This window comes from Homo sapiens, chromosome 13, assembly GCF_000001405.40.
Source record: "Homo sapiens chromosome 13, GRCh38.p14 Primary Assembly".
In the NCBI taxonomy this organism is placed as follows: Eukaryota; Metazoa; Chordata; class Mammalia; order Primates; family Hominidae; genus Homo; species Homo sapiens.
In genome coordinates this window covers 105,752,793-105,767,992 of record NC_000013.11, presented here as the reverse complement: position 1 = coordinate 105,767,992, position 15,200 = coordinate 105,752,793, and the positions used below count along the sequence as shown (strand labels likewise).

The 15,200-nt window shown below is 36.7% G+C and overlaps 1 long non-coding RNA gene across 1 annotated transcript in view; it reads right to left on the bottom strand.

Annotated features, from left to right (window-relative positions):
* Nucleotides 1-6,196: 6,196 nt before the first annotated feature.
* The window catches only part of LINC00343 (long intergenic non-protein coding RNA 343), a 54,967-nt gene continuing 45,963 nt past the window's right edge, over nucleotides 6,197-15,200 (bottom strand). Inside the window, exon 4 of the long non-coding RNA NR_046391.2 lies at nucleotides 6,197-6,730. This is a non-coding gene — a long non-coding RNA (long intergenic non-protein coding RNA 343). The remainder of the gene's footprint in view (nucleotides 6,731-15,200) is intronic.

Genomic DNA, 15,200 nt, shown 5'->3' with positions numbered 1-15,200 from the left:
CATCACCACTATAGTGAAATTGATCTTTTTAAAGTCACCATTGACCTTTATGTTGCCAGATTCAAATGGATACTTCTATAGATCATTCTTGAATTATTTAAAACACATCTAACAAGTTGGGTAATGCTTTCTGCTCATATTTTTGACTTGCATTTATTCTTCTTATTTCATTTGTACACACCAATTTGACATGAGAGAATCACCCAACCACGACCACTCTGCAAGCCAAGAATGAAGTTTATTATCCTGATCTCTGTTGTTTAAAGAATTCATGATAATCGGTGTTACCCTGCATGCCATGCTTAGCATTGGCCAAGGAGGACCTGTAGCTTAACGTCTATGCAGGCCTCATCAAAACTCTTTTGTACATCTTTTACTATGCATTCTTAAAGGAAAAGATGGCTGTGTCTAAATGTTGTGAAAGTGTGTGGGTCATTGCACTGCCCATATAGAGATAGGCATAGCTTCAGAATGTGGAGAAAGAGCTGTCATTTCTCAGTAGCGCAGGAACTGACTTTCTTGCTTCTCGTTGTGCTGTTGTGCTCCAATTTATTTTTCCAGAGGAATGCACTAATTAGCATGATATTTGTGTGTGTGCCCGTGTGTGAGTGTGTGTGTCTCTTTGCATGGGGCAGTCGAGAAACATTTGCAATTTTCTACAATCCCTGTTACTCAAATTTAGATGTATGCAAGTCTATATTTACAGGGTATGAAAATGAATTCTCATAGTGGCAAGTAGATATGCTTGAAATTCTTAATTGTAAGTTCATCAAAAAATATTATCAAATCATTTTTAAAAGGAAAGCTTAGTTTTATTGAAATTATTTAATATATCATGGTATTAATTAATTGTAATCTACTTTTTTTGTTGTTTGAAAACAACTTCAAACACCTTCAAAACATGACACATTTGAAAATATGAAAAATATTATCTTAATTTTTCTAATTTTACATGTACTTCCATTTATAACTTTTATGAAAATATGCTTTGGGTTTGATATGCTTTGAGTAATTACATTTTGAAAAAATGTTTTAGTGAAATTCAAATTATGTGAAATGCCTGATAATTATTTAATTAGTAATTTTATTGAAATAAAGAAAATTATTTGTATGAATAACTATATAATTATTTGTGAATTACATGTCTTAATGTCATCATTTATTTAAACATATTAATAGTGATTTGATTCAATCATCTTTCATGTCTTGTCAAATTTCTATTAAAACCATATTTGTAAACATATTTCTCAATATGAAGGTATATTTGTTCAGGTAGGAGAAAATATTTCAGTGAAAAATTTGTTAGCTAAGTTTATAGTATTTAACTATTTAAACATATGGTTTGTGGGTCTTAACCTGGGCTAACCAATTCTTGGGTATATAACTTTTGAACCGAAGAAGACAATATCCAAAAATATTTAAACTTGCTTACTTCTAACTTACAGTAGTGACACACTGATAAGAGTATACTACTGTTACTTAGATCTGCAGTATTTTGAAATATTTCTTTTATCTTTGTTCAGTTTTATGCACTTAAAAATATTTTTCCCATCAACTTGTTTTCCTGAGGTTAGCTTAATCTGTATTCTGTTGCTTGCAATCAAAGTTTTTTAAGTAATACACCTATTTTTTGCCTTCAGTAATATTAAGTGGTCCTATATCTTTCTTCATACCTCAGTGGACTCTCTCTCTCTGCTAGCCCTTTCTGTAGAATAATTTGGGGTTTGGTCTTAGGCCCTTTTCTCTAATTACGTTGGTTTTTTTTTTTTTTTTAGATGGAGTCTTGCTCTGTCTCCCAGGCTGGACTGCAGTGGCACAATCTTGGCTCACTGCAACCTCCATCTCCCGGGTTCAAGCTATTCTCTTGCCTCAGCCTCCTGAGTAGCTGGGATTACAAGCGAGCGCCACCACACCCGGCTAATTTTTGTAATTTTAGTAGAGATGGGGTTTCACCACGTTGGTCAGACTGGTCTCGAACTCCTGACCTCGTGATCCACCCACCTCGGCCTCCAAAAGTGCTGGGGTTACAGGCATGAGGCACGCCTCTCAGTCTTCTAATTACATTCTCTTATGAGGTATTTTCTAGTTTCATGATTTTCAGTACCATCTAGTGCTGATGGCTCCTTGATCCATAAGTGCAGTTTCAATTCACTGCTGAGCTCCAGACCCATGGTAAATGTTCCATAGCTCTTTGTTGAATAAAAATAGCCATAGTGGCAGAGATTGCAGGGAATGAGGGCATTGTTAGTGGTGAAATAGTGGCTGAAAGGATTGACCCTAAGATCTAGATACTGATATCCAAATACTAGATAAATGCTGTATCAAAACAAGGCTTATAGGCTAAGAGAATAAGCAGAGGCAGTAGAAATGGTGATACCACTTAGGTCAATGCAGACATGGTGCATGTGGGGAGTGAGTGAGGTAGTGAAGTAAATAGGAAGCTGTGCCTCAAAAAGCAAATTTCAGAATTTAAAACATCCTACCATTTTAGGTCAAGACAAATAATTAAATGTATGTATGAGAGTGGGTTACTTCAATGAGGTATGCATAGATAAAGTAACAGTAAAAGATGACAAGAATGTTTGAAGCTAGACATGTTGGTGGGCATCTACCACATAAAACATTTAGAAAGAATGTGAGTTTTGTGTGAACACTTTGGTGCATAGAAGTCTATGGGCTGAAAATTAGCAAGGTGACAAGACACAATATGGGAATAACAATATCTGCCCGTACAAAGTAAGAACAATAGCCAATACCCTCACCTTTCCATTTTAGCATGGGAACTACTGGAGGAGGGGTGTGTGTGAGAATCATAATTAAATGGAGGAAAGGAGAGAGGGAGAGGAGGGGAGGAAAGAAAGAAAAAAGAAAAAGAAGGAGGGGGAGAAGAAGGAGATGGAAAAAGAAGGAGAAAGAGAAGAGGAAGAAAAGGAGGAGGAAGGCAGGAGGGTTAGAGAGGAGAGAGAGGAGAGGAGAGGAGAGGAGGGGAGGGGAGGAAAGAAGAGGGGAGGGGAAGGGAGGGGAACAAATGCTCCCAAATGCTGCTAAAATAAATAAAGGATATATGAATTGCAGGTACCACAAGCACTTAACAAATCATCCTCAAGATATACAATGACTCAAACAAAATAGGAATTTAATCCTCACCATTCCCCAGAGTGAGTGGTTTAAGATCCACAGCAGAGGTTCTGTTCCAAGTAAGTCTCTGAAGAATCAGGCTGATAGGAGATCTTTCATCTCTAACTTCTAAGATGCCAATAGTCATTCCATTGACACAGCTAATAGGACAGAATGTGGAAAATTATGACTCGAAAGTATTTACTGTTTAGGGAGTCAGGCTTGGAAATATCGCACATCTCTTCTTGTGCATATTCCATTGACCACAAGTCCAATGTCCTGGCCACAGCTAACTGCAACACATACCCTGCTTATGTGTCCAGGAGCAGAAGAAAACCTGGATTTGGATGAGCAGAGAGGAGTCCCTATCACAGTTCACTAAATTAAATAAAATTTTGGTTGACATACAGGTATTTTTTTCTGTCTTAACATTTAAAAAAATCCAGATGCTTAATGGTTAATGTCTAAATGACTCAAAATTTTCTCTCTTCACTAACATTGCTGTACAGCTACATCCTGAATTTGCATGTCTCTGTTATTTTCTCCAACTGGAAACTTGATTCTCAACACTATTTGATGAAAATAGCTTCCTATAAAAAGATTTTGGAGTTCCCACAAGTACAACTCAGTCAGAACCTTTATTTAGTCTCTTTAAATGAAAAACCATTTGGAAAATAAAAATTTCAGGGTGGAACAGGATGTATACAAATTGTAATTAAAACAAATTCAAGACAAGACAAAACCATTAGTCTTCATGGAAAATCTAGGAGGAACATTCACAGTTCAATGCCACTCTCATTGGTGAGTAATTGATCTTAAGACACTAGCAAGTTTCTAAATTATCCCACATAAGTCTCAGATCCAACAGCCTAGCAGTGAGTCACATTAGCTAGTTGACTTCGCAACAATCACAAGAGATGATTTTCTTGGATGGCTTGGCATCTGCACATTCTGCTGATCTTCCACTTCCTTACTTTACCATCTCAGTGTATTTTTCTCTCCCTTTCCGTTTCCTACACACAGACACTTTTTTCTTCCTATAGTCTTTACTTCAGCAATCCCACATTATTACTTCTAACGGATGTTTCTCCTACTGAGTGACTTCTGGCCTGCCGTCTCAGGTGTCCTCCCATATCCTAAAATAGAAAAATGTTCACTATCATGATAGTATTCACCAATGAACTCCTTTTTTTTTTCTTTTTTTGAGACAGAGTCTCGCTCTGTCGCCCAGGCTGGAGGGCAGTGGTGTGATCTCAGCTCACTGCAACCTCCGCCTCCTGGGTTCAAGCAATTCTCCTGTCTCAGCCTCCCAAGTAGCTGAGATTACAGGCATGCATCACCATGCTCAGCTAATTTTTTTGTATTTTGAGTACAGACGGGTTTTCACCATATTGACCAGGCTGGTCTTGAACTCCTGACCTTGTGATCCACCCACCTCGGCCTCCCAAAGTCCTGGGATTATAGGCTTGAGCCACTGCGCCTGGCCACCAGCACCTCTTTTACATCACAGAAGATAGTTCACAAGTACTTTCAAGGGATACACATGAACTCCTAACTTTTGAAATCTGAGTTGTTTTCCATAACTTTCTCTCCCTGTAACTGATCAAGTCCAGATATTATGAATTCAATCTGTGTGATCACTTCCATATTTTACTTTTACTGCCTTATTACTTTCCTTATTATCCTGTGCCTGGCAGGTGCTATAACCTCTCAGCTAACATTCCAGTCTCTAATTCTCACTCTTGTCCATTGTTCACATTTTTTTGCTAAATTAACCTGTATCATCACTATGATAATGTATCCCCAATATTTAACAATCTACGGTGGCTTCTCGTGATTCTAATAGCATAAAACCCCCAGAATATTAATATAGCGTAAAAACTTTGTTGAAGTTTTGCCCAAAATTTTATTTTACAGGGCAAGCCTTTATTTAACCTAATTCTTTGTCTTATGCTTTATTATTGAACTATCACTAACTTTGATGTTTATCCTTAAGGAAGTGTATTATGTACATATACTATTGTTTAGAATGGATATGTCTAGAACAAGTGTAATATTTCCAGGGAAAAATGTGGATATGCAACTTTTATTTTATTTTTTTTCTTTTTGAGACTGCAGTCTCAATCTCCTGAGTATCTGAGTATCCGTCCTCCCTGGCAAATTTTTAAAAATTTTTTGTAGAGACGAGGTCTTACTGTGTTGCTCAAACTCCTGGGCTCAAGCAGTCCTCCCACTTTGGCCTCTCAAAGTGCTAAAATTACAGGTGTGAGTCACCACAACTGATAGATATGCAGGTTTTCCTATTTCAAGCTTATCATTATTTTCCTCATTGCCAAAACTTTTAGGTACTTAATTCAAGGTTATCTCAATCTAATCCCCCTTCTTCTCTAGGACTGATGCACAATCCTGGAGACTTACTAATGGCAACAATATTAGGTGGTGAATGTCTGACCTTGTTATCGGCTCACACTGGCGTCCTCACAGTTGACACTGCCCTGTCTGGTCTTGTGAGCATCCACTGCGATGACTTTGCATATGAAATCTGGCCTACGGCCCACACTGTCATCTGCAAACAGATTTCTTCATCCCAACCCCATGGCCTCTCTAAGTCTGCTGCCCTTCACTCATCTAAGTGCATGTCCTTCCTGTGGACATGGGAAATGTTGGCTGCTTTGCAGGTGCTCTTTGGAGCACCAGTGAATTTTGTGAGGCAATCTCAGCCCCCCACTGTCTTGACACCACACACAGTGCCCTTGGCATTAATTATGCCATGGTTTTCAGAGAGTGCTGCAAGCTGCTGTTTTTATTTTTTCCTTCCATTTTTCCATTTCCAAATGGGAAGTAGGACATGGCTATTTTCTACTTTCACATTCATAAAGTTATTTAGGTTTTGCATGATGTGATTTCTGGTGATGGAAAAAGGAGATGGGGAGCAGGAAGAGAACTGGAGTCAAAGACAGAAAGATCTCTCTCACGGGACCATGCTGTTCCCTTTTCCAGCTCTCCTCAGCCCAGAAGGAGAAAATTTAATTCATTGGGCATTGTTTTCGTCAACTATAACAAAATACCATAGCCTGGGTGACTTAAACACTAGAAATTTATTTCTCATGGTTCTGGAGGCTGAAAAGCCCCAGACTGGAGTGTTATTATGGGCGGGTTCCAGTGAGGACTTTCCTCCTGGCTAGCAGATGGTCACATTCTTACTGTGGCCTCATGTGGCAGAGGAAGAATGAAAACCTGTGGTGTGTTTTTCTTACAAGGGCACAAATTTCACCATGAGGCCCCACCCTCACGCCCACATCTAAGCCCAGTTACCTCCCAAAGGCACCATCTCCACATAATCATCACATTGAGAGTTAGGCCTTCAACATATGAATTTTAGGAGGACATAAACATTTAGTCCGTAATGGGCATTCTTCTTTATAGCAAATTGCATACTCGTTATGATGAGAATCCTTCCAAAGTATCGACAGGCTATGCATTTGAAACCTTTATTTCAAACTGTGCTTGAATAAACTCTTGCTTGGCAGATTACTCGATCCCTGAATTAGTAGCCTCCTTAGGTCTAGACTTTAGCTCAGATGGGTGAAGGATTAGAAGAGGAAAAACAGAACTGTAAATGAAAAACACCAAGGTTAACATTTCCAAATAACCTTCTAGGAAGAAAGGTTATATTATAATAGATATATGTCCAGATATACAGATATAAACATATACTATCTGTTATCTTCGTAAACACTAACATAAGGACTAAGAGATTTGAGAAATATGTTGAATTAATGAAAAATATAAAATATGTCTTTCTCTGTATAATACAATTTGTAAACAAATTGGGTACAGGAATAATAAAAGCTAAGTTGAGTAGTTGCTTGGGATTCTATTTTTATTCAATAAATAAAGCAGCTACTAAAATATTACGTTTTAAACACTAGTAGGAGTTTGTCATTTAATTTGTTTCATTCACTTGTAAATGTTCACAACTTATCAGTAGGTGCTGAAATTTCTATAGCTTCAGTATAAAATGAAAGCTTTCAAAGTACTACTTTTCTCAGTGCCAGATATTAAAGCCTTAAATGGCCAATTCTGAAGATATTTGAACATTGCTTACTGTTTCACAAATACTTTATATAACATGTAAAAAATGACATTTATTAGCTCCCTGGTTATTTTTCTTTATGACTGTGAACAATGCAGCTCAGAAAGGAAAGAAAGAGATTGCATTTGAAACCTGAAAAAGCTACACATAATTAACTGGGAAAAAACAACTAATAGGAAGGAGAATGAGAGAAGCAAACAAAAAATAATGTAAAATCTTGATAGAATGAGATGTATAAAGTATATTCAGAAAATAAAAGATTTTATTCTCCTTTGATTATTTTATCTTAGAGGTCTAAAAATATCATTTTAAAATTAGCTAAGAAAAAAATCCAAAGATTTGTGACTGTAATATTAGAGGAGGTTGAAATTTATAATAAAGACATTTAATCTTGTAATGGTCAGCAATAGGGATAAATTAAAATTTTTTAAAAAGTGCCATGATAAAAGTTATGCATTTTATTCTCTGGTATCTATTCACTGGGCATATAATTGCTGAGCATTCAGTGTGATCATGACTCAATTATAAGTGCTGGACAATCTTAGAATTCCATCATGGAAAAAGCATAGCATTAGAAATAAGAAGGCAGAGATTCAAGTTCAAATTTCTACTGTTTATAAACAATATGAGCCTGGTCAAATGACTATACTCTTCAACTCTTCTGTTTTAACACTTATAAAAGGGGATGATTATGAGAATGATAAGAAAATCTCTTTCACCAAATGATGCATAAAACATACAGTATGTTAATACATATCAAAGTACTTTATACATTGCTAATCAAAATGAAATTTAGTATATTTCACATTTCAGTCTAAGATTTTTTTCTTTTCCATTTCAAATTTTGCAAGCTTTAATTGAAAATACCTAGAGTGAGAGAGAAATATGTAGTGTTTCCATGGGAATTATTATTGAACTAAGGTTTTTACTATTCCAAGCACCAAGTTCATTGAAGTCATTTTCATTTGCTTTACTTCTGAAGTCTCTGATGCCATATGATATCTATCTACATTGAGTTGAATTGCACTTAGGAAATTATTTCTCTGTACGACTCAAAGAGAACTTGATATCATGTGAGGCAGGTATTACTGTAAGGCATTGTGACTCAGAAGAGAAGAAAGCTGCTCATTATGTCAATTACATTTATGGGAAGCAGGGGAACCCAGTTTCCCATCCCTCTTGTGAATTCTTTCAGCAAATTAAATTATGAGCATGCAGACTTGTTTAATTAATGGAGTGCATTGCAACTTGGAATTGTATCATCTGTGCACAAAGAAATCATCACATCACAGTCTCGGAGATGTTTTCTACTTGGCCTTCCATCATGGATGGCTGTACATCATACTCAGTCTTTGAGAGAAGAGAGTCTCACTATTGTCATGTTTCTATAAACATCGGTAATCTCTGAGTTTGGCATTGTGAATTGTACTTGGATAAGAAGAATATAGTCTATAAAAATTATAGGGCATGCTCATAGTAGAAATCATCTTCCCAGTAATTTTGACCAATAAATAACTGCTATGCATATAAAAATATGTCAGAAACACTGGAGTAGCTTGTACCTTCTTGGCATAGCTATGTTGGATGATTGAAGCTGATTGGATTAACAAGAATAATATGAACGGCTCTGACATATTTCTGTTGCTAAGTGTCCAAAAATTCAATTTAGCAAATGTTTGCTGAGTTTATGTTTTATGCGAAGCACTTTCTTAGACATCCTGGTTTGTAAAGCTGAGAAGACAACCTTGGCAACTCGCAGTTAACTAAGAGAGACTGAAATGTAAATATAAATTCCTGCAAATACATGATTAGTACCTTGACAGGGATTTTTCCAATATGTCATGGCAATATAGATTCAAGAGCAACTCCATCTACTAGGGGAAGTGAGGGGCTAGTGGAGACAGGGGCCAGGAAAAACTGTACAGTACAAATGTTCCAGCTAATGCTAAGCCACGGAAGCATAAAAAATGAGTCCCATTTCTGGGAACACTGGGCAGTCTACTTTGGGTTATGATTAGAGATAAAGCCATAAAGGAACACTGAGCTATGCTTAGAAATTCAAATGTTTGTAAGTACATATGCATTAATACGTTTTAAACAAGAGTGACGCCTGGGCACGGTAGCTCATACCTGTAATCCCAGCACTTTGAGAGGCTGAGGTGGGTGGATCACCTAGGTCAGGAGTTCGAGACCAGCCTGGCCAACATGGCAAAACCCTGTGTCTACTAAAAATACAAAAATTAGCTGGGCATGGTGGCATGTGCCTGTAGTCCTAACTACTTGGGAGGCTGAGGCAGGAGAATCTCTTGAACCCGGGAGGTGGAGTTTGCAGTGAGCCGAGATCACACCACTGCACTCCAGTCTGGGTGACAGAGCGAGACTCCATCTCAAAAAAAAAAAAAAAAGAGTGACAAGATTATACCTGTTTCTATCAAATCAGTCATCTCATCTGACTGGAGAATATTAGAGGGAGAAGACATTCTTCACAGGATAGTAGATCAACAAGGAAATGGTTTGAAGTGTTCCCATAGGGGATGAAGGATGCCTGGACAATGGCAGCAGGTATGGAGAAGACAGAGTGGGGGGACACACCTTTTGTTTCTGGCATTTTTCCCCCCGGTAACAGGACCTCAACTGTCTTTTGACAAACGATCTCTTTCTCCACGGTCAGCTGTGTGGTTTGAGGAAGCTGACACCATCTGTTCTCCAAGTGGGTGAACAGGCAATAAAGGACAAGTTAATTTGTGCATTTCATCAAGACACTCTCCAGGGATTAGGAGTAGATATGTGCAGTCAGAGTGAATCTCAGGGCATATTGGGAACCAACACAAAGGTACTTTATAGTTTCAATGGGATCTGCATTAGGAGGAAGGCAAGACTGAAAAGTTCTAGCTGTTCTAATTGGGATCAGGACAGGGCTAGCTTCAGAACCAAGGCAGAGAAATGGAAATAATTTTTCAGATAAAGGAATAGAATAAACATTTGAAAGTAAGTGTCCTGAAATTAAGAAAGAGGATTGAATGATTTGCCTATTGGGAATTGACTCTATTGGTAATGAATGATGTTAACTGGGGAGACTTGTATATATTGAGAGAAGACGTGAACCCAGGGAAGAAATCCTGGTGAACAATGGCATTTAGGAATCTGATTTGATGTAAGGTGTGGGTTATAGAGGGCTCTCATGTTCTAATTTGTACTTTTTAAAATTGTATACTCTTAAAATTTAGCACATATTATACTTGTACTGAAAATATTTTCCCCCCTAGGTCAGTTGAAATACAAAATAATACTAGGTGAAGAAGTAGTGTCTTGGTTGAGGAACTCTTGAAGATGAGAACACATGCCTGGAGTGACCACATTTTCAAAGCAAAGTTTGCTGGGGATGGGGTGGTGGTGATAGAAAAAACATTGAGAAAGCAAGATCCAAGGAGAGATCACTTCCAGATAAAGAACAAGCTGTTTGTGAATGGCAACATTTTAGTTGTCTTTGAAGAATAAATAAAATTTTGACATTAATAGGAGTGGATGGGGGTCGGGGTGAAGTTGATGAAAATTTTCTAGTCTTTGATTTGTTTGCTGATGACTGGACTCCATTCTGAAAATCTCCTGACTGGTCATCTTTGGTTCATGTTCTTCTTGAGCCTTATCTTTATTAAACAGTGTAGATAGAAGAAGATACTTCAGACTCTAGTCCTGTAAACATATACTTATAGTTCATAAAAGCATGACTTGGATGGATCCAATTATAAATCAGCAGCTGTTAACTACAGGATGCTAGCTCTGTCACAGTTCAATATTCTGAAACTTTTGTTCTCCTATAAAAGGCAATTACATATTCTACTTTGATCCTGTAATAATTCAAGTCTAAAAATTTATCCTAAGAACATAATTATACATTTTCTATAAGAATGTTAATTGCCGGCTTATTTTTAACAGGAAAATATATGAGCAAAAATCTCTCCATGGCAACAATAGGGAGATAGGTTAAGTGAATTATGATATGGCAATATAATGAAATTCATGCATGTAAATAGAAATCATATAGAAAAATTGTAAAGATATGAAAAGTACTTAAGATATATTGCTTTGTCTTCTCAACTTACTCAACTGTGTGTTTGTGTTTGTACATGTGTATGTAAACATATGTCTGCATAGATACACACACATATAACCACATTTTTATTTTAAAGTGTTGTAAAAATCTTGAGTTACACAACAAAATGTTGACATTTTATTAGTTCTGGGTGGATGAGTTTGGAGTGCTATTGTGTTTCTCTTTGCTTATCTATATTTTCTAATTATTCTATAATGGACATATTAAACCTTGGTGGTAATAATGTAAGTTGTGTTTCATAAATCTGCATTTAACAAAACAATACAACTTTAGTTATTAGTGCTTTTCCTTCTTTTGGATGCCCCGTATTTCAGCTCAGTTCTGTCTCTAAATCTACCTTAGTACAAAAAATAAAAAGAAATAATGAAAACATAAATGCTTGCTTTCTACGACCTTTATAGCTTCAGTAAGGCTACCAGACCTAAGCAAGTTCTCACTTGGGTCTTTGCATGAGTGATGGCCAGCATGGATTCTGTAGAATTCCTTCCCCTGGAGCTAGTAGCATCAGTGGTCCAGAGACAGTGGTGGTCATCTAGGGCTTGTGGCAACTGCACACCACCCTGGTTGTTCCTGAGTGTGACCTTAATTTTTGTTATAGTGAGCCACTTGTCTAGACCTGAGTTGTTAAGTCTGGTTTTATAGGCTTCCTGTTGATTTTTCGAGTTACCTGCATGCCTGCAATAAACTGTTTTCTGTGTCTGTTAGTCAACGTTATTTCTTTTCTTCCAAGCAAAATATCAGTTTCCAAATAAACCTGATTGACAAAGGGCTAGCCTTGTTTGACCAGTATATCAAGCCTATATATTTAGATTTCTTGGGAACAACTAGACACAATGTCAGAGTCTTAATAGGAAACCACATAGGATTTTTTGTGACATATCTCATAGACTGAAAATTAATGATAGCTAGACTTCTGGAAAAATAGAGCTATAGAATAACCTATTTATTATCATTTTAGATGAGAATCATGAGCTATAAGGAAATACTGTCATAATCATAAGTTTTAAAAGTGTCTTATACAAGAAAGTACAGTTTCAGCATTAGTTTTATCTCCATGCCACTTAAAATTATTTTATATACATTTTTAAGTCACACAATTTTTAAAATGCTATTCCTTACTTGAACTTATTTTCCATGAATTTAAAGCATTTTGTAAAAATTTAGTATCCTTTTCATATTTCTTTAGAAATTTTACCATTTCAGATTCTCAATTACTTTACATGGACATCTGGATCAAGTCAATTATTGTACCTTTCTCATTCAATACATGAGCAAGCACCCATAGAGAATGATAGCTGCTGTTTGGTTAATTGCATTAATATCTGGGAGAATATGAAATAATTTTACATCTTTATTACTAGTGTAACTCAGAAATCTGGAATGAGAAATCTATTCTCATCATCTTTTTTCAGTTGTCCATTTGCTGTCTGCAGATATTGAAGCAAAATCTTTGGTATGATTACTACTGATAATATTTTGTGTAAAAATAATTATCTCACTATTTCACTTTGTTTACTTTTTTTATTATACTTTAAGTTTTAGGGTACATGTGCACAACATGCAGGTTTTTTACATATGTATACATGTGCCACGTTGATGTGCTGCACCCATTAACTCGTCATTTAACATTAGGTATATCTCCTAATGCTATCCCTCCCCCCTCCCCCTACCCCACAACAGGCCCCGGTGTGTGATGTTCCCCTTCCTGTGTCCATGTGGTCTCATTGTTCAATTCCCATCTATGAGTGAGAACACGCGGTGTTTGGTTTTTTGTCCTTGCGATAGTTTGCTGAGGAGAATGATGGTTTCCAACTTCATCCATGTCCCTACAAAGGACATGAACTCATCCTTTTTTATGGCTGCATAGTATTTCACGGTGTATATGTGCCACATTTTCTTAATCCAGTCTATCATTGTTGGACATTTGGGTTGGTTCCAAGTCTTTGCTATTGTGAATAGTGCCACAATAAACATATGTGTGCATGTGTCTTTATAGCAGCATGACTTATAATCCTTTGGGTATATACCCAGTAATGGGATGGCTGGGTCAAATGGTATTTCTAGTTCTAGATCCCTGAGGAATCGCCACACTGACTTCCACAATGGTTGAACTAGTTTACAGTACCACCAACAGTGTAAAAGTGTTCCTATTTCTCCACATCCTGTCTAGCACCTGTTGTTTCCTGACTTTTTAATGATTGCCATTCTAACTGGTGTAAGACAGTATCTCATTGTGGTTTTGATTTGCATTTCTCTGATGGCCAGTGATGATGAGCATTTTTTCATGTGTCTTTTGGCTGCATGAATGTCTTCTTTTGAGAAGTGTCTGTTCATATCCTTCGCCCACTTGTTGATGGGGTTGTTTGTTTATTTCTTGTAAGTTTTTCTGAGTTCATTGGAGATTCTGGATATTAGCCCTTTGTCAGATGAGTAGATTGCAAAAAGTTTCTCCCATTCTGTAGGTTGCCTGTTCACTCTGATGGTAGTTTCTTTTGCTGTGCAGAAGCTCTTTAGTTTAATTAGATCCCATTTGTCAATTTTGGCTTTTGTTGCCATTGCTTTTCGTGTTTTAGACATGAAGTCTTTGCCCATGCCTATGTCCTGAATGGTATTGCCTAGGTTTTCTTCTAGTGTTTTTATGGTTTTAGGTCTAACATTTAAGTCTTTAATCTATCTTGAATTAATTTTTGTATAAGGTGTAAGGAAGGGATCCAGTTTCAGCTTTCTACATATGGCTAACCAGTTTTCCCAGCATCATTTATTAAATAGGGAATCCTTTCCCCATTTCTTGTTTTTGTCAGGTTTGTCAAAGATCAGATGGTTGTAGATATGTGGCATTATTTCTGAGGGCTCTGTTCTGTTCCATTGGTCTGTATCTCTGTTTTGGTACCAGTACCATGCTGTTTTGGTTACTGTAGCCTTGTAGTATAGTTTGAAGTCAGGTAGCATGATGCCTCCAGCTTTGTTCTTTTGGCTTAGGATTGACTTGGCATTGCGGGCTGTCTTTTGGTTCCATATGAACTTTAAAGTAGTTTTTTCCATTTCTGTGAAGAAAGTCATTGATAGCTTGATGGATATGAAGGACCTCTTCAAGGAGAACTACAAACCACTGCTCAATGAAATAAAAGAGGATACAAACAAATGGAGGAACATTCCATGCTCACTGGTGGGAAGAATCAATATTGTGAAAATGGCCATACTGCCCAAGGTAATTTGTTTACTTTTTAATTCAAATACTGACTATCTCCATTTAGCAGACATAATGTTCTCACTTAGAGGACAAATTTTCTCAAAGTTCAACAGATTTTTCTGGAAAGGAAAGAATGATGAGTAGGAGTTTATAATAAAAATCATAACACAACATAAAGTGATTTTCTGACCAATTGCTCAGCTTTAGCTATAGATGTGCAGGCTACAAATAAATGCTAACAAATTAAAATAATTATTTTTTGATTAAAAACTACTTCCTTCAAGCAGGGTGGTAAAAAAGAAAAATCTTAGTAAATTTTGGTTTTATTCTCTGAATCTTCTGCACCAGGCGGTATCAGTGCTATTTCAAACACCATGTTAAACACATAAACAGTCTGCTATGCAAAACCATTAAAATCACAGTGGCATTATTCAGATATTTCATGACTTTGCAAGTGTATTTAGGGATACAGAAGTAAGTAAGGGGGAGGTGTAAGGATAAGGTTCACCTTTAAACTGACATATACACAGTTGACCCTTGAACAGTGCAGGGGCTAGGAGTGCTCACTTATGCATGATTGGAAATCTGAATATAGATTTTGACTCCACCAAAACTTATCTACTAGTCTACTGTTTACTGGAAACCTTAATGATAATGTAAACAGCCAATTAACACATATTTTT